Source organism: Homo sapiens, chromosome 10 (assembly GCF_000001405.40).
Source record: "Homo sapiens chromosome 10, GRCh38.p14 Primary Assembly".
NCBI lineage: Eukaryota > Metazoa > Chordata > Mammalia > Primates > Hominidae > Homo > Homo sapiens.
The window spans coordinates 29,148,247-29,172,427 of record NC_000010.11 but is presented as its reverse complement, the minus strand read 5'-3'; the positions used below and the strand labels follow the sequence as shown (position 1 = coordinate 29,172,427).

Here is a 24,181-nt window from a genome sequence, read left to right as displayed (position 1 = left end):
GACGAGATGTAAAGGTAGAAGGCAGTGATATTGATGATCCTGACCCCTGTATAGGCCTAGGCTAATGTATGTGTGTGTGTTCCTAACAACAACAACAACAAAATTAAGTTAAAAAGAGAAAAGCGTATAGAATAAGGTTATAAAGAAAGAATATCTTTGCACAGCTGTACAATGTGTTTGTGCTTTAAGCTAAATGTTGTGACAAAGAACCAATAAGTTTAAAAAAAAGATTATAAAGTGAAATATTTACAGAAGGTAATATGGTAGGAGTTATTAACAAATTATTTTAGGTAGATAGAGAGGAAAGCGGTCCTTGGAAACTTTTCATTTTTAAAGCAGCTCCAGAAACATTTCTTGTCTAGTTGGAAAGCTCTGGCTCTTAGAGCCAGGCTGGCAACCTTTGATATGCAAATGCAAGCCATTAGAAACTGGGTCCACCCAAACATGGTGATTCCCGTGGCCTTCTTGCCCTTGCCTCTCACGTGCCTGGCAACATGGCTGCCCCCACATAACCCCACGTGTGTAGAACATCACGGTGCCCTGCATTTGCAAATTAAAAGGCTAGGGTGGGAGAGCCAGTGTTTTGCAGGCTACGTGAATGACACGCCTGGTCAAACCAATCCCGTGAACTCTATGCAAATCAAACACCACCTCCTCCAGCGTCTTCATATACCTGGCTGGTATCAGTGGCATATGGGGTCTCCTCTCTCGGCTTTGGAGCCCCCCTCCCTCTGTCTCTGTATGAGGGAGCTTCTTACTTCTCTCTTGCCTATTAAACTCTCAGCTCCTTAAAACCACTCCATGTGTGTCCGTGTCATTTTATGTAATTCAGCTCAAGACAAGAACCATGGTGTTCCTCCACTCATCAGAGCTAAATCAGTAAGTTTAATTTATTACTGAAAAAAAGAAAAATATTTTTATAAATTTGTGTAGCTTAAGTGTACAGTGTGTATAAAGTCTACAGTAATGTAGTAACATACAGTAATGTACAAAAATATCCTAGGCCTTTACATTCACACACACTCACTTACCAAACACCCAGAGCAACTTCCAGTTCTGCAAGCTCCATTCATGGTAGGTGCCCTATACAGGTGTACCATTGTTTATCTTTTATACTGTATTTTTACTAAACTTTTTTGTGTGTTTAGACACACACATACCTACCATTGTGTTCCAATTCCCTACAGTATTCAGCACAATAACAGGCTGTACAGATTTGTAACCTAGGTGTGTAGGAGGGGATACCACCTAGGTTTGTGTAAGTACACTCTATTATGTTTACACAATGACAAAATCACTTAAAAACACATTTCTCAGAACATAGTCCTGTTGTTAAACAATGCATAACTATATATAAGATTGTTGATACTGGCCGGGCACAGTGGCTCACACCTGTAATCCCAGCACTTTGCAAGGCCGAGGCGGGTGGATCACGAGGTCAGGAGATGGAGACCATCCTGACTAACATGGTGAAACCCCGTCTCTACTAAAAAATACAAAAAAATTAGCCGGGCGTGGTGGTGGGCATCTGTAATCCCAGCTACTGAGGAGGCTGAGGCAGGAGAATGGCGTGAACTTGGGAGGTGGAGCTTGCAGTGAGCCGAGATTGCACCACTGCACTCCAGCCTGGGCAACAGAGCAAGACTCTGTCTCAAAAAAAAAAAAAAAAAAAAAAGATTGTTGATATTGTCTCACGGACCTCAGAGGCACTGTTCTCTCTTTCTGTTTCCTCCTCTCTCCTTCTTTCTTTATCACTCACACTCTCTCTTCCCCTCTCCTAAAACTTAGAAAAAAATCATTCTTTCACCATTAAGCATAATGTTAGCTGGAGGCTTTTCTCAGATGTCTTTTATCAGATTAAAGAAATGCATTTCTATTCCCAGATGACTGTTTCTACCAGGAAAGGGAGTGAGGTTTCATTTTTAAAAATCTGTACTTATGAAGATGAACTTATGGTTTTTCTTGTATATTTAATAGTTTTTTAATGAGTCACATTGATTGATTTTTTAATGTCAAACCATCCTTGAATTCTGGAAATAAACCCTACTCAGTCATTGTGGTAGACATATCTTAAGGTGGCCTCCAGGATTCCTGCCTCTTGGTAGTCACATATGTGTATTATCCCTTCCTCTTGATTGTAAGCATGAACTGTGACTTGCTTCTAACCAATGAAATACAGCAAAAGTGATGGCATATATCATTATGTGATTATATTAGATAAAACTGTAGCACTTGTCCAGGAGTCTCTCACTTCCTTGTTACCTTTCAAGAAGCAAATGGCCATGTTGCTTCCTCACATGACAAGGAATGATAATTGGCCTCTAGGAGCTGAGGCTGACATCCAGCCAGCAGCCATAAAGAAACAGAATTTCTCAGTCCTGTAGCCACAAAGGACTGAATTCTGCCAATGAATGTACGACTTTGGAAGTGTATTCTTCCCCAGGTGAAAACTTTGCCTCAACTGACCCTTTAATTGCAGAGGGACCAACTAACCACACCCAAACTCCTGACCCACAGAAATTGTAATATGATAAATGTGTGTTGTGTTTTAAGCTGCTAAGTTTGTGGCAACATTGTTATGCTGCAGAAAGTAAATAATACAGATTTTATACTGGAAGGGGAGTGCTGATATAATAAATACCTAAAATGGAAGTGGCTTTGGAACTGGGCAGTGGGCAGAGGCCAGAAATATTTGAAGAACATTGAAAGCCTGACTTGCTTTGGACAAGCCGTTAACAGAAATGTGGGCATTGAGGATGCTGCCAGTGAGGACTTGGAAGGGAGTAGCATGTGATTGGAAACTGGAGGAAGAGGGGTCCTTCTCAGATAAGTGACAGAAAGCATAGCACAATTGTCTCTTGAAATGTATAAAAAGTAGAGCTTGAAAATGATAAACTTAGTTATCTAAAGATAATTCCAAGCAAAATGCTTGAAGTTACCATTTGGTGTATCCTTGCTGCTCATAATACATTGTGTAAAGAGAGAGACAGATTGAGGGGAAAAAAACTATTGAACTAATAGGAAGCAAGACTTGATCTTGAAAATTCTCAGCCTTTCCAAATGTTAAAATGTGCTAAAATGGAGAGATAGCTTCCAAGCACTCCAGAAAACCACACACATGAGAAAAAGCCAAGGCTATGACTATACGATCTTTTCCTAAAATCTCAGAAAGAGCAAAAGGCCAGAGGGTTCAGCCACACAAAGGGCTCTTTCAAAAAATTAAGGGTATGCCTCACAGATCTTCTCAATCAAACCACAGGGCCTCTAGGAAAATGAAATGCATTGTCCCTCAGCAACCTCGGCAGAAGCCCAAGGTAGAGAAGGACTTTTCTAAAAAACATCTGTGGGTGAAGATGTGTCTAATGGAGTAAACCCCAGGGAAATTCATGGAAGGCCCACAAAGTTCTTGAGAAAATTCTTTCAGAAGAAACACTGCCAGGTTGGACTAAGTGGGACAGAGATAGGATCAAATGAAAAGAGACCCTTGTAACTCCAATTCTACTAGTAGGAAGCAGGTTGATAAAATGACTCCAAACGTGAGCTGACTTTCATTTAGAAAAGGAAGAATGACTCAGATGGTAGAACTAAGATCCCAGGAAGCAGATTCTAGAGCCATGGAGAATTATTCCCAAAGTTTGAAATTTAATTTTAAAAATCTGAACATTTTCTCAGTTGTATTTTGGAATTATTATGGACCAATGATTCCTTTTTATCTTCCATTTCCCCTTTTTTAAAGAAAAATGTCTGCAGCTTCTTTCCTATACCTCTCCCAGAATTGTATCTTGGATGTTGGGGGAAGATAATTTGTCTCTTTCATTTACAGATTCATCAGTTGAGAGGAACTATGTGTCCATGGAGCCTCACCCACACCTGGCCTGATTTAGATAATGAAACTCTGGTCTTGGAGCAAATGCTGTTATTAGATTACATTCTCGGGGATCTTGGTGGGGGGGTGAAAGTATTTTGCGTGTAGGAGAGACATGAATCATTGAGGACCAGAGGACAGACTACAACCACCACCAGTTAGTATCCATGCCCTTGCATAATTCCTGCCCCTTGAAAGTAGGTAGAAAGTGGGACTTGCTTCTAACCAATTGAACATGGCAAAGGCAATGGGTGATTGGGCACTATATAAGATTGCATGTGTATGACTGCCTTCCATAAGAGTTTAGCACTTGTCTTGCTGGAGTTTTTCATTACCTTGTTGGCTTTAAAGAATAAAATGGGCTAGGCATGGTGGCTCATGTCTGTAATCCTAGCACTTTAGGAGGCTGAGGCAGGCGGATCACCTGAGGTCAGGAGTTTGAGACCAGCCTGGACAACATGGTGAAATTTCGCCTCTACTAAAAATACAAAAATTAGCCAGGCATGGTGGTGTGTGCCTGTAATCCTACCTACTCAGGATGCTGAGGCATGAGAATTGCTTGAATCTGGGAGGCAGAGGTTGCAGTGAGCCAAGATTGTACCACTGCACTCCAGCCTGGGTGAAGAAGCAAGACTCTGTCTCAAAAAAAAAAAAAAAAAAAAAAGAAGAAGAAGAAGAAAATGGCCCTTTTGGGGAACCCCAGATGGTCAAGAACTGTGGGTGGCCTCTAGGAGGTAATAAAAGCCTCTATTCAATAGTCATCAAGAAATAAAAGCCTTCAATTTTACAGCCACAAAGAACTGACTTCAACTAAAAATCTGTGTTTGTAAGCAGATTTTTCTCCAGTCAAGCCTCCAAATGAGGGAATCTTGCTGTTACAGGCTGAATGGTGGCCCCAAAGATATGTCCACATCCTCACGACTGGGACCTGTGAACATTACCTTATTTGGAAAAAGGATCTTTGCAGATGCAATTAAGTTAAGAAACTTGAAATAAGGAGATTATCCTGAATTATCTTGGTGCACCCTAAATGCCATCACAAATGTCTCATTATTTTAAAGATTGCCTTAGGGTGTTGATATACATCTCTAACTTATCATAGTACACCTTCAAGCAATATTATATCACTTCATGTATAGTATACCTTACAATAGTATGTTTTATTTCCTTCCCTACTGGCCTTTGTGCTATTGTCATGTATTTTACATCCATATGTAAAAAACCTCACCTTATTATTTTCATTAAACAGTAAATTATCTTTTAATGAGATTTAAATAAAAAGAAAAATATTTTATATTTCCTATGTATTTACCATTTCCAGTATTTTTCATTCCTTGTGTAGAACATATTTCACTCTGGTATAATTTTTCTTTGGTCTTTATTATATATAGTAATCTTTAATATCTTTTAAGTCTGGAGGTGATAACTAAAAGAACTAAATTCTCTTAGTTTTTGTAAGTATAAAAAAAGTCTTTACCATCACATTTGAATGATTTTTCTTACTGGATATAGAATTTTAGATTGTTTTGTTTTTCTTTTCTATAAATTAAAAGTGTCACTCCAGTTTCGTCCCACTTGGATTGTTTCTGACAAGAAATCTGCTGTCGTCCTTACCGTTGTTCTCTGTATATAACTTCTCTCTTTTTTTTCTGCCTGCTTTTCAGATTTCCTTGGTTTTATGCAATTTAATTAGGATGTTATTTGTAGTTTTTGTAGTTTTCCTTAAGTTTTTTTTGTTCTTAGAGTTCGTTGAGTTTCTTGGATTTGTGAGTTTATAGCTTTCATCCAACTTGGAAATTTTTTGACATTATTTTTTAAAATATTTTTTCTGTCCTTCATTTTCTCTTCCTCTTCATAGACTACAATTACAACTATCTTAGTTTTCTTGCTATTTTCCTGCCACCCACTGGTGCACTGTTAATTTTAAATTATTTTATCTCTTTGTATTCCATTTTGGATGATTTTTAGTGGCATGTCCTCAAGCCTGCTAACTTTTCTTCTGATGTATCTAATCTGTTGTTAATATCACCCTACATATTTTCATCACAGACATTGTAGTTTTTATCTCTAAAAGCCTAATTCAGGTCTTTTTAATACTTTCTATGCCTCTACTTTATTTTTAGATCTATGGAATACTGATGAAATGACTGTCTTAATGTCATTTTCTGCTAGTTGTAACACTTTTATCTGTTCTGGTCAGTTTTGATTGATTGATTTATCTCTTCACTATGTGTTATATTTTTCTGCTTTTGTACATGCCTGGTAATTTTTTATTGTGAGAACTATGAATTTTACCTCATTGCATTCTGTACATTTTTGTACACCTATAATATTCCTGACCTTACTTCTAGCATACAACTGTGTTACTCAGAAACAGTTTGAACTTTTCAGTTCTTACTTCTAAATTTTGTTACTCAGAACTAGACCTACTTATTACCCACTTCTGAGACAAGACTATTCCAATTTGCTATGGACTGACTTGTGTCTCCCCCAAATTCATATGGCAAAGTGCTAACCCCCATGTGACTGTACTGGAGATAGGGCATTTAAGGAAGTGATTAAGGTTAAATAAGGTCATAAAAGTAGAGCCCTGATCCAATAGAACTTGTGCTTATAAAAAAGGAAGAGACACCAGAGGTTGGTGTCATATGAGGACACAGCAAGAAGGTGCCTTTCTAGAAGCCAAAGAAGAGAGCCCTCACTAGAAACTCAGCCTTGCCAGAACCTGAATCTTGGACTTTCCAGCTTCCAGAACTGTGAGAATATACGTTTCTGTTGTTTAAACTAATCAGTCTGTGGTATTTTGTTATCATACCCCAAGGTCACTAATATATAGGTACACTACCAAGTGTGATGTATAAGGTTTTCTTCTCTAGGCTGTGGGGGGAAAACATCATTTTTATCCCTACATGAGCACCAGTTACTATTCCTTCTAATATTTTGGGGTGATTTTTTTTCCTCCAAGCCTCAGGAGAATGCATAGACATGCACTGATCAATATTCTCCCTGATACTTAATGGAGACTCTCTGTAGCTCTCCAGAGTTATTTCTTTATTCAATTTCCCTCTCTGGTATTCTGTCCTACACACTCTAGCTAAGTTGGTATCCCAGACTTTCCACTCCATCTCTTCAACTCAGGAGTCTTCTGGGCTGCAGCTGGGTCTCTTTCTCTGTGTCACAGCCTGGAATCTGTTACAAGGCAATAAACTGGAACATTTGTAGGATTCATCAATTTTATTATCTGTGTCTGAGGCATCACTGCTCTTGTTGTTTAATGCCCATTGTCTTGGAAATCATTGTTTGCTATTGTTTGATTTTTTTTTCATTTGTTTCACACAGAAGAGTTAATCAAGTCATGATTACTCCATCTCAATCAGAAGCAAAATCTCACTAGCATTTCTTTTACTTCTTTTTCATAGTTTCTATTTCTATACTAAAACTCTCATCTGTTTTCCTACAATGTTTACCTTTTCCACTACATCCTTTAAGCATATTTATTGATATTTTAAAATTCCTGTCTACACTATCTCTAGGTGTGTTTTATTGACTCTTTCTTCTCTTGACTATGGTTAATGTTTATTTTCATCTCAAAGTTCCCCCAAATTTTATTGCCTAACAGATATTTTATATAAAAGGACACCAGAAAGGGGAATAAATAATACTCCTAAGAAATGTCATGCCCTTTCTTTTGCCAGGCTTCAAGACTGGAGGGCTAACTCTATCTGATAGGTGTCAGTTTGGGTCTGAGCTTTGTTTCAGCTTTAGTTTGATTCAGTTTCCCACTGGCTTCAAATGTTTTGAGACAGAGGTAAGTTTTTCCCCTTCAGCAGGTTCTAGAATGTGAAAACTTGAAAGTCCACAGATTTCTTTGTGTTATACACAAAGCTGTCAGTTTTTCCAACAAACCATAGGAGATCTCCCTCTGCCTTACAGCCTGGCTGCAAAGAGATCACTAATGACCTCTCTTTGCTCTCTGTGCCTGTCCTCAAATTTCTGTTCCTCTTAAATCTGAAAGCAAGGTGTGCCTGCCCCTCCCTAATCTTTGGTCATTAAAAGCCCATAGTGCCTTAGATGCTTTTCTCTTTGCTCTCCTGGTCTGTCCTCCACCTTTAGACATCGGCTGCCTTGCACCTGGGGAAGACCCATCATACTTTGTGAGGATCTCTCTAAGCTATCTGGTCCCAGCGTTTAACATAACCACCCATGAACTTGGTGAAAACCTACATTAAAAAGCTGATAAGTGGATACAGATTTGCTCTGTGGATAGAACTCCTTGACATTCTAATTTTTCACATTATCTCACACATAGCCATTAAAACTTTCTTACAAGTTTGAAGGGTTTCTCCCTACCATCTAAAGTAGATTTCTCCTGTCCCACTGATTCTTCTTGATTTGGTTTTTAGGGCAAGAGTGGCAGACAGCTTCTTTTGACTTTCTACATCATAACCAGAAACTAAGGTCCCCTAACCCTTCCTTGTAACCCTCTGCCTCATCGAAAATGAAAAGTGCCTCTTTCTTACAGATGTTCCTGTCATAGATGACATTCCATCTCTCACTGTGTTTGCCTGGCTCCCCTGAGGGCTGGGAGGGCTGGACAGAGAACTGGGGATTTCCAGATTTGGAAGGAAACTCTGAGGTCATCCTGTCCAGGATGTTTCTTACTTGGGAACTTCTTCCTTGGGCTTTCTCACACCCAGCTACTCTTCTGTCTGTGTGTTTTAGTGTCCATGTATCATCTTCACCGTGTCTGGCTGCAGGTAACCTGGTGATTCCCACCCTACAGTGGGCTCAACTTTTTTTTCTCCCTCTGAATTTTGAACATAAAATCAAAACAACATCTAGAAAACTTTCTATGTGCCCAAGCAGCTGTGTCTGGTTTGGCCCACACTTTGGGCTGGGACTTGGTCAGTGCCATCTTTTTATCCAAAGCGGTTCTATTCATCTGAATTCAGTATCCCTGGTCTTATTTGATGATGAAGTGACTAAGTGCTTAACTTGGGTTTGGAGTTTTATTTATTGTTTTTTGTTGTTGTTGCTGTGATTTGAACTATGTCCATTTATTTTGGTTTTCTTTTGTTTTTCACTTGGTAGCCTACTGCGGCAATAAAAGTTTAAAGGAAGCTCAGCTCCTAGTTATAGCAAAACACTCTTTAATAATGACTTTTTGCATAATTAAAAACAGGACCTGTAAATTTCTGAATAATTCGTCATTTTATTGGCCAAATGGAACTGTACTATGGTTAATGCAGGAGAATCACTTGAACCCAGGAGGCAGAGATTGCAGTGAGCCAAGATCTTGCCACTGCACTCCAGCCGGGGCAATAGAGTGAGACTCTGTCTCAATTAAAAAAAAAAAAAAAAAAAAGAAAGAAAAGAAAAGCATTTACTAAGAACTGGGATTACCTGGCAGCAGTAATACAGCTACTATCACATATGAAATACCTATTATGTGTCAGGCCCTACAATAGGTGTTTTATTTGCATTATCCCATTTAAACTTCATAACACCCCTAACTAACAGTCCAAATGATTACCTCAATTCACCAACACAAAAGCTGGAAGCATCCCAAGATGACAGAGCTAGTGAGTGTGTCTGCAATGCCAGGGCTGTCAACCCCAGAGCCTTTCTCTGAGGCCAGGCTGCCTCCTGTCTTAGGGACAAATTTTTATCCTCCTTCTTCTCTCCTCCTCTACACAAAACACTCCTTAATCCAGCAAGATTCCTCTCCCATCCTGGTTACTCGGAATCCAGCTTAATACCTGCCCAAGGCAGATCAATGGCACTTTAGCTACCATCCTCATCTCTGAGCTTCTTCTCCTCCTCTTTTATCACCTCTGCTATACACTCTGCCCCCACAACAGGTGTATTCAAGTAAATGCTGTTGTAGGAGTTATTAAGAAATTATTTTAGGCAGATAGACAGGAAAAAGGGGTCCTTGGGAAGTTTTCATTCTTAAAGCAGCTCTTAAAGCCAGGTCAGCAACCTTTGCTATTCAAATGCCAGCCATTAGAAACTGGGTCCATCCAAACATGGCGATTCCCGGCCTTCTTGACTTTGATCCACATGTTCCTGGCAACATGGCCGCCCCCACATATCCCCACGTGTGTAGAACATCATGGCGCCTGCATTTGCGTACTAAATGGCTAGGGTGGGAGGGCCAGCTTTTTCAAGGGCTATGTGAATGTCATGCCTGATCAAACCAATCCCCTAAGCCCTATGCAAATCAGACACTGCCTCCTCCAGCCTCTGCATATACCTGGCTGGTATCCACCACACTTGGGATTCCCTCTCTCAGCTTTGGAAACCTCCTCCCTCTGTCTCTGTACAGGGGACCTCTTCTTTCTTTCTTTCCCCTTCTTTCTTGCCAATTAAACTCTCCGCTTCTTAAAACCACTCCAGTGTGTCCGCGTCGTTTTATCTAATTTGACTCCAGACGAAGAACCTGGTGTTCCTCCACTCTTCAGAGCTGTATCAACATGCGCCTGGCAGAGAAGGGGGAGGGTGGAGGGCTAGTTCCATGATGTGAGGGTATGGGATGCAAGCGTTCCACCACTAGTGTCTACCTGGGTAGACAAAGGCTGTGGAGAACAGAAATCAGAACAATGATGTCTCTGGGATGGGATGGGGGAGCTGGGAAGGACAGGTGGAAACTCTTGGGGTGGAAATGTCCTAGATCTTCTTTGGAGTATTGGTAATTTGGATACATTTGTCAAAACTATAGAACTCTACACTTAAAATCTATCTATTTTATGCATAAAACTATATATCAATAAAATATTTATTTATTTATTTGTGTATTTATTTATATATTTTTAGAGATGAGGTCTTGCTCTGTTGCCCAGGCTGAAGTGCAGTGTTGTGATCCTAGGTCACTGTGGCCTCAAACTCCTGGGCTCAAGAGGTCCCCTTGCCTCAGCCTCCCAAATATCTAGAATGACAGGCATATGCCACTACATCCAGCTAATTTTTTAAAAAATTATTTTAGAAATGTGGGTCTGGCTATGTTGCCCAGGCTGGTCTTGAACTCCTGGCCTCAAGTGATTCTCCCACTTTAGCCTCCAAAGCATTGAGATTAGAGGCATGAGCCACTGATTACAGCCCAAAATATTATACACACACACACACACACACACACACACACACATATATATATTTTTTTGAGATGGAGTCTCGCTCTGTCACCAGGCTGGAGTGCAGTGGCATGATCTTGGCTCACTGCAACCTCTGCCTCCCAGGTTCAAGCAATTCTCTTGCCTCAGCCTCTTGAGTAGCTGGGACTACAGGCATGCACCACCAAGCCCAGCTAATTTTTGTACTTTTAGTAGAGACGGGGTTTCACCTTGTTGGCCAGGAAGGTCTTGATCTCTTGACCTCATGACCCACCCTCCTTGCCCTCCCAAAGTGCTGGGATTACAGGCATGAGCCACTGCACCAGGCCTAAAATATATATTTTAAAAGAATGCAGGTGCTATGGCACCCAGATGGCTACCTTTCAAATGGCATGGCTTTTGCCTTTGACAGCCTGCTCCCATCCTCACACAGCCCCCTCACTCCAGTTATACTCTTGAGCCAGTTTGGTGACCCCTGATTCTCATCAAAAGAGCTTTACAAGCTTTTGGGGGAGCGGGATTCAAGGACACCAGGCCAAGAAAGAGCCATGTCCAAGAGCACCCAAGTTCCTGAAAGGAGAAGTGGGCACTGTACAGAGGCATGAATGGGGCACCTACAGTGGACAACCTTAGCAAAAGGTTCTCTGGTCCCTGTTATGACTCAAGAGGGACAGGCCAGCTCTACTTGTGCTCTTCCAGAAACCAGAAGAAGTGAGGGCAAGGGCTGTGGATCAGAGGACTTCCCACTCATCTGGCCACTGGACTCTGCCCTGAGGAGGTGAAGTCTCCATCATTCCCCTCTCCTTCCCTTCTGTGAAATGCTGGTTCTCTAACCTCAGAGGCCTCACGCCTTTGGAAGGAGTAAGTGACCAGTATTGTGAGGCTCCAGATAAAGCCATCGCCTGACTCTTGGCAAGAGTGACTCTGAGGAAGCTGGTGCTTCAGTTGCTGAACAACCCATCGGTGTCTCTGTACCACGGTGGGGTCAACCCTACCCCGGAGCAGTGGAAATCCCAGAAACACCCTTTACTCGGCCCTCCTCTCTCCTACCCCTCTGCCCACCATCTCCCAACTGGTTTGCCTTTGATCTCAACATAAAAAACTCAGGCTCATTTTAAACCTGTTGATACTCTAATGACAAGAATCGAGACAACAGTAATTAATGATGAACATTAAATGGCCCAGCCCAGCTGCCCAGCAGAAACCACAAGGATAGTCATAGTGAGTCACCAGCTCTGGCAACAGGAGTGTGCTGCAGGCTGTCTGGGATGTGGCTTTGTTATGCCCAAGGTCTTTTCTTCCTAGCACAACACCTCAGTGAGGGCCACTTTAACAGAACTGTGAAGCCTTCTACCTGCCTCCAGTTTCCCCTTTAAACAATTTCCAAGGACTCCACCAAGCTCTTGCTCCTATTTCAGGGGCCTGGGTGAGACACAGGCGTCTTCCCCCTTTTCCTCTCCAATTTCGAAAACAAACTCTGATATCAGACATTTACACCTTAGTGAGAATCGAAAAAAGAAAAATAACAACTAAGTCTAATGTGTGATAACTGAGGCAGGAGAATAGGGCCCGGAGGCAGGGAACATAAGGCCCATCCACACCTTTAGTTCCTAGAACTAAATCAAATGAAAGCACTTCAGCAATGACAGGAATGTGAATGGCTTTGTAACTTCATTTCCTCCTCTCCAGTCCCGCCATTTACACTTTGTAACTTCACATTCATCCTCTCCATTTACATAGACCACACACTCCAAGTAACAGCCTCTCCATTTACAATAGGGCAGATTCTGAGTAAATGACTCTGTGACTTCACTTCTTTCTTTTCATTTACATAGAATATTCACCAAGCAGCCAGGTTGGTGATTACACCAGTAATCCCAGCACTTTGGGAGGCCGAGGCAGGCAGATCACCTGAGGTCAGGAGTTCAAGACCAGCCTGGCCAAACTGGTGAAACCCCATCTCTACTAAAAATACAAAAATTAGCCAGGCATGGTGGCACCTGCTTGTAGTCCCAGCTACTCTGGAGGCTGAGACACAAGAATCGCTTGAACGTGGGACGTAGAGGTTGCAGTGAGCTGAGATCGCGCCACTGCACTCCAGCCAGGGAGGCAGAACGAGACTCTGTCTCAAAAAAAAAAAAAGAAATTCACCAAGTAACTAAACAGAAACCTCTAGAGTATTGAAACTCAGAAAATTCTGTAACTGGGCTCTTGAGCCCCTACGCTTGGGCCCGCTCCCACACACTGTGGAGTGTACTTTCCTTCTCAATAAATCCCTACTCTTGCTTTCCTTGCTTTGTTTGTGCGTTTTGTCCAAATCAATTCTTTGTTTAAGATGCCAAGAACCTGGACACCTTCTACTGGGAACAATAGCCACCCAACCAAGTTCTAGGTACCCAGGAGTGAATTAAAGCAATCACTCCCCATGTCAGCATCGAGGAGAAAGGCATGACATTGCAAAGCCACTTCTAAGTGTCTTGCTGGGTAATAGCTGCACAATTCATGTTCTGAAAAATAGAAAGCATCAATTTCACTGACACACTAGGCTGGGTATGGTTGATTTCTGTCTTTAGCTGTACTACTGAACCAATGTGCTTTTAATAGGAAGGCTGCACCCTTTTCTTTTTTTTCTTTTTTTTTTTTTTTTTTTTTTTGCACAATAACTTGCTTTTCTGTGCCCTGTGTACTACTCTCCTAGGGGCTCTGTGAGCTTTTATGTTTACACTGGAAAGAAATATTGAAAGCAAAGAGTTTCTTTCTGTCTTTTTTAAAATAACCAAGTACAGCACTATTCCCAATGGTCCCAATCTAAGTTGCTTTCAGTCACCAGGAAAGAGATTAAGCAGTCCCTACCAACTTTGCAGCGCTTTACTCTGAAGCATGAACCAAGCCAAGGTCAAGCTCACAGGCGGCATCTTTCATTACTGTGGGGGCAAAGCTCCAGTCAGACCCATCAGAGTGGAGGCTTCTGGTCTCCAGCAAGTCATTATGTACTTAGGATTATCATTAATTTTCTCTCCCTGAAGTGCTTCTGATGAATGTGAGAGCTAAAGCCGACTATGCATTCGCTAATAAAAGGTTCTATGTTCAATTTTCTAAAAGTGCCCTTAGAGAATCCCCAATTTCCTGCCTCTTCTAAGAAGAAGCTGAGTTTGTGCTGCCTTCATAAAGGGAGAACTGAATCATCTTGGTGTAAAAGCTTCCTGAAGGTTGGAAGGAGAGGCCCCTGGGACATTCAGGAGACTTGGAACCTTCTGGGGCCTGGCAGTGTAGATAGAGCGGTTATTATTTATTGCAGACTTAAGAACTGTACACCGATGTCTATGTGGCTCCTGTTTCTCCATCCCATTTTCCATTTGCAAGGCTTCAGTCTCCTTCCTGGGAATCTTAAACAAGCTCCTACAAGTCCTGTTGAGCCCAGCGCATAAAGCCCATTTAGCTCTCTATGATGGGGTCCACACTGCCCAGGGGGGTCACCTGACTCAATGCGTTCTTTTGGCTATATCCTCAGTTGTCACATTTGATTGAGGACATCAGCTGTCTTAGATATGGTAGGGATGGATCTGTGCATTAAAGCAGGCAGCTGGGATGCCTTTTGCTCACCAGGAAGGAAGGACATGCAGGCTCTGAGTAGGAGCAGCTTTGAGTAGACGGTGCATGTGTTCACACTCAGAGCCCTGTAGCCTGGTCTTTTATTGAGACATAGAGACTGTGAAGCATTTTTTTGCTAAGCTTTAAAGTTTTAATTAGCTTATTATCATGAGCTGGAATGGGCTGTAGACGTGTTCAGGGCATTGAAACAATGCCTTCTGTGTGGGGCCCTTTTGGAAGAGAGCTCTGGGGCTTAAGGCACAATGGCTTCCTGTGTCCCAGGGCCCTGGTATGTCCTGTTCTTCCACCATTGCCTGGGCCACTCCCAGGCAGCATCCAGGGTGTTGTTGTGGGGTTTCAGCCACTGCTATGAACATTAGTGCAATGCATTTCCTCCTCATGGCACTAATGAAGGCCAGGCTACATAGGCCGGCATTGTCCAACATCTGCCTAGATGCCTAGCTTATGGCTGCAAACAGCAGCACAGATGACCAACAGATGCAAGCTCTGCAAAGAGCTCTGTAGCTAAACAATGAAGTCCCTGAATCTCCATACATGCTGATAGAGTTCAAATTAATCTATCACACTGTGGATCTGGCAGATTCTTGTCTTTGTTTCTGTTTCATCATCCAAGTGAATACAGTAATTACACTTGGGTGCCAGAGTGTAACAGCTAGTTCTCAGCCCAATAGTCTTGGCATGAAGAACCAAAGTAGGCTCTTTAGGTAAATTGCATGGTAAGGGGAAGGCCTCTGCTCCTGACAGGAGACTTCCATACATTCCTGGGTGCTGTACTGAGTGAGAGTTGCTAAGTAGCTAACATGGGCAGTCTGACTTCGGGAAGAAGTGAGGAGTTTCTTTAGGAGAGCTGGAAGTTCAATAGCTACACATTCTGGACTGGATGAAGCCAAGACAGGCCCTATTCAGCCTCTGACACAAATGCACTCCCAGATCTTTTAAGGCACTCTCTGATCTTGAAGTTGAGGTTTCCAACTCTAAATTTGCAAACAGTTTTCTGGTGATTTGTTGGATTTTTGAAAGAATTTCAAGGATGTGGGAATCAAGACAGAGGACCAGTGAGACTTGACCCAGCTACCCCCTAATTTCAACCAGGCCATCTCCAACCTGAACTCTCTTATAGATTGTGGCTGAGTGGGATTTATTTTAAATAAAGGATTTTACTGCTTAAAAAGCACTACCATGTTATAGCTTGAAACCTTCTGGATTAAACAATCTCAAAGGCCATGCCCCATTCTAACAGTCTAAGATTTTAGAGAGTTCTGTAGTTGTAATACTCACAGGTGTCGACTGGGCACGGTGGCTCATGCCTGTAATACTAGCACTTTGGGAGTCTGAGGTGGGTGGATCACCTGAGGTCAGGAGTTCGAGACGAGCCTGGCCAAGATGGTGAAACTCCGTCTCTACTAAAAATACAAAAAATTAGCTGGGCAAGGTGGCAGGCACCTGTAATCCCAGCTACGTGGGAGATTGAAGCAGTAAAATCACTTGAACACAGGAGACAGAGGTTGCAGTGAGCCAGGACTGCACGCCATTGCACATTGCACTCCAGCCTGGGCAACTACAGTGAAACTCTGTCTCCCCCCCACAAAAAAATGCAAGTTAAGCCAGACCATTGTGGGAGCAGATCATAGCAGAGCTAAAAGACTATAGTCTTAGGGAAGTGAGAAATTTAATTAGACTCTCTCACCTTGCAGAAACTTTAGGTCCAAGACAGAGAAAAAAGGAGGGATTTTGATAGTATAATTAAGGAATTTTTTTTTGGATTCCCATTCACCAACCCTCTACCCCCTGCCAGCCTCTAAGTCCTGGTAAAGTGACTGTCATGATATTCTAGTAAGTTTGGGATACTCAGAAAAAGATGTGCTGTTGTACAATGTTGGTCAACAGTTTTTTGTTCTGGATTGTCTGACAAGTCCAGGTAATCTCTTACTAATTCTTTTCCCTAATAGCCTCTACCTCCAGCCCATTCAACTCTTGTCCCTTTACTAACCTGAACAAATCAATAGCTAGTCTAACACCCACAACTTTAAAATTTTACCTCCTAAGGAACAATTTGACACTGTAGTAATATTTATGACTCTAAAAGCCAGCCTATTTTATCAAACGATTGGTTAGTTTCAGGAAGCTCTTTGTCATATGTAACATCAAACAACAGATTGATTGGCTTGAAAACAATTTTCAATTTAATTCCTTGGAAGTTAGGTAGACACAGCCTACTTTTGGGAATAGCTGTCAAAAATGCTGTGTCATTAAGGCATCATGTGTTCAGTATTGAGTACCAAATATACACATTTCAGGCACAATAGGAAATCTGATACGCCCTTTGGAAAAGGAACAGGTAGAACTAAACCTTTTATCTCTGCTAGGATGTGATTTACATGGTACTTCTATGCTATTGCATATTCAGTTATAATGCTTTGGGAGATAATGAATCTTTTTCATTATTGTAGTTGTGCTTGAATTCAGTACTCAGGGCCAGAAACACATGACACTTAATGCTTGCTTTAAGATAAAACCATCGGGCCGGCACGGTGGCTCACACCAGACAATCTAGAACAAAAAATTGTTAACCAACATTGTACAACAGCACATGTCTTTCTGAGTATCTCAAATCTATTGGAATATCATGACAGTCACTTTATCAGGGCTTAGAGACTGGTAGGGTGTACACGGATGGTGAATGGGGGAAAAAAAAACTCCTTAACTGTACTATCATAATCTCTCCTTTTTTTCTCCTTCTTGGAGCTAAAGTTTCTGCAAAGTGATGAGTCTGCTTTAATCCCAGCACTTTGCGAGGCTGAGGCAGGTGGATCACCTGAGGTCAGGAGCTTGAGACCAGCCTGGCCAACAAGGTGAAGCCCCGTATCTACTAAAAATACAAAAATTAGCCCGGCGTGGTGGCATGCGCCTGTAATCCCAGCTACTTGGGAGGCTGAGGCTGGAGAATTGCTTGAACCCGGAAGGCAGAGGTTTCAGTGAGCCGAGATCGAGCCATTGCACTCCAGCCTGGCGACAAGAGCGAAACTCTGTTTAAAAAAAAAAAAAAAAAAAAAAAGATAAACCTGTCTTACTGTAGAAGGGAAAGAACTATAAGTCCAGTGACACAGATCCCAATCCCGGATATTACAGTGTATCTGCAGAGGGAATTGCTCCATTTCTCTTGGTTAAAAGCCTTGCTCAATCGTAGTTAGGAGCACAAGGGTGGAATCAAACAAAGCTGGGTTTGCATCACTTATACAATGAGTGATTCCCGAGCAAGATACTTAACCACTCCAAGTCTCCGTTTTATCCCCTTTAAAGTGGGCATAATAATTATACCTATCTCATGAGGCTGTTGTGAAGATTAAAGAACATAGAGTGAGTGCTGAGTAAATGTTCATTATTCTTAGTATTGTACCTGATTTCCTATAAAATGATTTTGTATAACACTACTTCTAATATTATTCTCCATTTTAAAATTCTATGATCCTCAGGTCTGTGGAGATCAGGCTTACTCCTCTAGAGTTCAAAGCATCCAGCTGGTCCTGGGAGCTGTGCTGAGGATAGCCTGTTTCCGTGTCTTCTTACTGGGGTGACTACAGTGAAGTCGTTATGACCTGCCTTCAGACACTCAGAACAGGCTGGCCCAAGGCACCTAGAGGAAGTGGAGATCAAAGTTGACAACTGTGCAACAAGTTTCTGGCTAGTTGGAGACACACAAGCACAGAGGTCTTGAGCGATGCCTTAGAGTATTTGCAATTAAATTGGGCGAGAGAGTGCTGGTGTGCTGCTACTCACAGCGTGCTGGACTGTGGACCAGAGCATCAGTATCATCTGGGATTTGATTGCAAATTTAGTATCTCAGGCCTTGCCCCAGATCTACTGTATCAGAATGTGCATCTTAAAAGGACTTGTGCCTTTTAAAAGGACAGAACGTTGTGTCCTCCCAAAATTTCTGCATTGAAACCCTACCACCTAATGTGACGGTATTAGGAGGTGAGGACCTTTGGAGGTAATTAGGATTCAATGAGGTTGTAAGGATGAGCCCTTGTGAATGGAATTAGTGCTTTTATAAAGGTCATGAGAGAGCTTGACTCCCTTCTCTGTTCCCCACCATGTGAGGGTACGAGAAGTCAGCAGTCTGCAACCCAGAAGGAGATCCTCACCAGAGCTCAGCCATGATGGCATCCTGATTCAGACTCCAGCCTCCAGAACTATGAGAAAGACATTTCTGGTGTTTACAAGGCACCCAGTTGATGGTATTTTGTTATAACAGCCCAAACAAACTAAGACAGGACTCCGCAGTGGTTTGCTGATATACTATTTTATTCCACTGAAAGTAATGGCAAAAACCACAATTACTTTTGCACCAACCTAATAATGTTTGAGGAAGCGCTTATTCAGTGGATTCTAGCAGGAAGTGTCTGTTTCATGTTTCCGCCCCCTAAAATCAAGATGCTTCAAGAATAAGGCGCAACAGTGGTTATGAGACATGAGCTGAGAATTGCCTTCAAAGTAAGAGGATCTGGTGGCCTTCGTTTGGAGACCTTTCTGCTCAGTGTCATCTGGAGTATACTTTGGGGCAGAAAAGCTCTTAAGGCACAACCATTTTTACTGCCATTGTGGGATGTGATGGGTGGCATTGGAAGATGAGTGAAAATTTCACCAGCATCCTGCTTCATGGCTGGATGAGAGGTATTACAGGAAGGAGTGGATGCAGGAAACTGTGTCAATCTTCTTGAGGCAGAGACACTTATATTGAAAGAGGAAAAAAAAAAGTCAAGTAGGAAACATATCCTAAGTAATAAGCACTCAGCCAAGAAACTTAAACAGAGAAAACTATGTTGGGTTTTGTTTTCCCAAAAAACAAAATTTGAAAGTTATCTTCTAAATGTTTTTCCTATGCAGTGCAATAAACCATCCCTACTAGTGGATGTTGCAGAATGCAACCAGTATCAGATTGTCTGTGATTCTAAAAAGGGATGGAGATGCCTGGCAGAGAAAACCCAAATGCAATTCTGCTCAATGAGCCCACAACTGAGTCTCTGCTTTCTTCCTATAAAGGAGCTTTCTGGAGGACACCAGCAGTCAGATTCTCGTCATCAGCAGTTAACAACCTTTAGTTTCAGGATGCTTTGATGGAATCCATCCAGGGTTTGTTAAGAGGAAACATGAGTTTTGCCTTCTCTGTCTTGCCACGTGTCTCGCCAGTGCTCTTTTACTCATGACAGCTTCACCTATCTTATGGGTAAGGAAACTAAGTTTAGGAAACTCGCCCCATGTGACAACTCCTGTGGCTTCCAGAACTTGGACTTGAATGAGGGTCTCTCTTTCTGCAAAGCCTGAAGTCTTGCTTCTCTGCTGTATTGCCTCTCACGTCGTTTGTTCATTTGGGGTTAGACGACGTGGCCATCCTCAAAAAGCTTAAAATTCTTGTTCCAATCGTTGTTCCAATTTCAATAGAGTAGACATTTGTTTCACCTCCCCCCTTTCAGCATAATCCTGTAACCCACATGTAAAGACATGAAATAACCAAACCACAGGGCCCTGAAAAAGTTTTATTGAGCTTCAGCTCAGAGACAAGGAGTTCCTTTGAGGTAGAGGTGCTTATATTAAGACAGAAAAACAGTCCCATAGGAAATATTTTCTGAGCAAAGGGAAAGCACAGAGTCAAAAAACTTAAAACCATTGAGATCTGAAAAGATCGTCCCATCCAAAGAGCCCAGGACAAATTCACTTTCTTTCACGGGTGTCCGTAATAAGGAGCACACCCTCCGGAAGTTTCTATGTTGCATCAATTTGTACAACATCAGTCAGGAGCATAGAGTCTCAAGATAAATGAACTTTTCAAGGCCTTGCTCCTTAAAGTATAGTTTCCCCACGTAGCATCACCCAGGGACTTGTAAGAAATTCTGATTCTCAGCCCCACCCCAGACCCACTGAATCTGAACCTGAATTCTAACAAGGCCCTTAGTCACCATGAGCTATGATCGTGCTACTGTATTCCAGCCTGGGCAACAGAGCCAGATCCTGTCTCAAATAGTAATCACATACAAAAACTCTCGACAAAACACAGCAATAAGATAACAAGGTCCACAGGTTATTTGTATACACCTTCAAGTTTGAGAAATTCTGTGTTAAGGCACTGTTATCTGTGGGTACCTAATGCTGGTTGATCCCAGTGATACTTGGAATCATTGTCCCGGAATTTGATAAGCAGTATCCTTCAGGCTTTAATTCCTGAGTGGGGGCTATTCCTACTTGAGTGAGCCGTTTAGTGGGTGAGTGGCTAAAAAAATAATCTGGCTACTGCACTTAGTTTATGTCATATATGATGCCAATTTTGGAAGATCTAAAATATAATAAATGACCTCACAAACTGAAAATTACATTGAAAATGGAATCTGTGATAGGCATTGGGGATTCACTGGATCTTGAAGGGCATTGAAGTAATCTCAGGAACATCAGCTCTCTTTGTACAGAAGATGTGAGAAGCACCAACCAGTAGAACATCCCAGCTGCTGGAATGCCCAGGCAGAGAGAGCTTAGTGCATTGCTGTGAAAGAGCCTGTGGGTGGGTGGTGGGTGCCTGGGGTGGAAGCCAGTATTCACAGCCTGCCAGTAGGAAAGGATGAGAGTATTCTTCACACTGAAAGGGCTGGTTTCTCTGGTCAGATTGATTGGAATTGCTGGTCACCAGGAATTTAACCTAATTAAGGCTAAGCCTCTGAATGGGAATTCCTTTACAATCAAATTCTGCCTGCAGGCTGGGGGTGGCGGTAGGATGGGGAAGAAGGGGGAGATCCTCCCCTCCTAAGCTCTGTTAGCCTTCATTCTGCTGAGACCCCCATCCATCCTATAGTGCCTTTTGCTATTTTCTCCCATTTCTGTGGACTTCAAGATTTGGAGATGCCTGGGCTTGGCACATCTGACTTAGGATCCTGACACCAATTCCCTTCTGCTCCATCACCCAGGCTTGCAAAGAATGAATATAACGGTGTAAATTCTGTGTTCAAAATACCTGGATCAGTTCTTGCCTCCAGTGCCTGTTAGCTGAGAAAGCTACTCACCCTTTCTGTGCCGGAATTCTCCCAGCTGGGAATAGAGCTGACTGTAAATAGCCTTGAGAAGTGTTTCTACAAGGTTGTTCTGAGGATTAAATGAGTTGATGTTTGCTAATGTGTTATTATGTGCAATGCATGGGCTAGTACCTGGCACGTGGTAAGGGTGGCTATCATTTTTATACCAAATCTCGAACTTTAACTCAGGCGCTTTGTTACCCATAGGGAAAATAGAGTTAGATTCCTCCTAGCCGCTAGAAAATTGAAGCTATTCTCCTTTCTGCCCTGGGTCTTGGGATTCTAGGAAGTCCAAGAAGAGAATGATCCATTTTTGGTGAGTACAGGCCTGGAGTTTGGGGGGTACCTGAGAAGCTCTGAGGGTTTAACACAAGTTGACTCTTCCTGCTCCCATGAGTGAACTCTAGGGGCTACGCAGTTAGGCTATTTATAAACAAACACAACATTTTCTGGGGAAAGGTTACAGGTTTATTTTAGGTGGGCTCCTGCTTGGCTGGGAAGGCCTGTACTTGTTATAGCTGCTTGGCTTAGCTCTCTGCAGCCTGGCAATGCGGAGTTCAGCTTGAGGTCAAGCTCTGTTGAAGTTGGCAACGTGACCTAACTCAGGCGGCTGGAGCTTGCGATAACCCCAGGGCTTCCCTTGGAATTTGCTGCTGTCCTGCTCTCCAAACTGGCATTGCAACCTCAGAAGTTTATCCTGGGATTGGACTGGAACAGCAACATGAATGCCACAAAGTTAAAACAAGCAAGATCTTTTAGGAAGAGAGAGCAACTTTAGCTAAGGGATAAATCAGCTACCTTAATAGTGGAAGGTCAGGTACATGCAGTGACATTTTCCAAGCCTATACAGATGGGGATGTCTTTGGTATTTTCTGCTTCTTGCTCATTGGACCCTGCTGCTTTGGGTACCATCATGAGCCAAGACACATTAACCTGAGCAGACTTAGCAGACTGATTTTTTTTTTAATCTCTTTTGGATTTGTTGTTTTGTGATTCTCCTGTTGAGATTTATGTTGCAAACTCAGAAAAACAAAGAAACCCAAAATTTTCCACCTTAGTCAGTCCTTATAATAATGTCACATAATAATAGACAATATTTATAAGAATCTGGCAGAAGTGTCATCTCTCAGAACCCAAACGCAATCAAAATCTCACATCTACTTTCATAAGGGACAAAGTAATAGTAAAGCCCTTTGCAATAGGAACAAAAATTCAGCAGTTACTATTCTTTGATTCTTAGAAAAGAAAAGAATGAGCTGGTTGGGCAGGCACAGTGGCTCACGCCTGTAATCCCAGCATTTTGGGAGACTGAGGAGGGCAGATCACCTGATGTCGGGAGTTAGAGACCAGCCTGGGCAACATGGTGAAACCCCATCTCTACTAAAAATACAAAAGCTAGCCTGGCGTGGTGGTGCACGCCTGTAGTCCCAGCTACTTGGGAGGCTGAGGCATGAGAATCATTTGAACCCAGAAGACAGAGGCTGCAGTGAGCTGAGATCGCACCACTGCACTCCAGCCTGGGTGACAGAGCAAGGCCCTGTGTCAAAAAAACAAGAAAAAAAGAGCTGGTTTATGCTTCTGGCCCATAAAAACTAGCAGATAAGAAGTCTTGATTGAGACATTAATGCTGAATGATTATGCATGCATAGAAAATTCCTCAGTTAGGTCAACATAATGATTTCATCGAAGGCTTGAAATAGATGTCAAAACCTGGGTATTCGAGAGCTTCCAGAGAAAGCTGGGAAATCCAAGGAAAGGCCTTGCAGAAGAGTAAGGGAGGAGATATGGGAATATACAGGGCAAAATTTATTTAACTTACCGAAAGGTATGTGTATATATTCATGCCTTTGTCACAACCTATTTGGGTAAACCATAAATGTCCTTGAATGACAAACTTGTGATTATATTTATATTAGACATGCACAAATTTGCATAATAATATTTTTTGAATCAATTTATAGAGAGTTTGGAATAACTCTGATTAAAACTGCCAACGGTCAAATAGAAAGCCAATAAAAACCAATATGTCAACAAACTGCACTTTCTAATTCCACATAAAAATGTAAGTAGACTCTAGATTTAAGGTAAGGTTGTCTTTAACCCAGACACTGAGGGCAGGATTCAAAATGGATTACTAAAGAAAAGGGTGGATCTTATAAAATGAAGAAAAATCAATTAGCATTCACTAAGGATGGATAAGTCCAATCACTTTAATTTCCATTTTGGGCAAGCTGACTGGACAATCTGACTGGACAGATGGTCAGGAAACAGGTAAGTCTGACCTTCAGCAAGGCGTGTGACAGTATATTTTGGGTTATTCTGTAGACAAGATAGAGAAATACAGATTGAAAGCTAAAATAATTAAGTGCATTAGTAGCTGATGGAGAACAAAGGACATGAATGATGCTGACGGCTGTCTTCTTGCAGAATAGTTACTTTTTATTTTCTGAGACGGAATTTCATTCTTGATGCCCAGGCTGGAGTGCAATGGCGCGATCTCAGCTCACTGCAGCTTCCGCCTCCCAGGTTCAAGCAAT

At 42.1% G+C, this 24,181-nt stretch overlaps 1 annotated feature.

Moving 5' to 3' along the window:
• Positions 12,307-12,982: an enhancer, noted in NCBI's record as "OCT4-NANOG-H3K27ac-H3K4me1 hESC enhancer chr10:29448375-29449050 (GRCh37/hg19 assembly coordinates)". NCBI's record gives its function as "activates a minimal SCP1, AML or CMV promoter by ChIP-STARR-seq in naive and primed H9 embryonic stem cells {active_cell/tissue: H9 hESC(naive and primed)}" and the evidence as "EXISTENCE:reporter gene assay evidence [ECO:0000049][PMID:30033119]".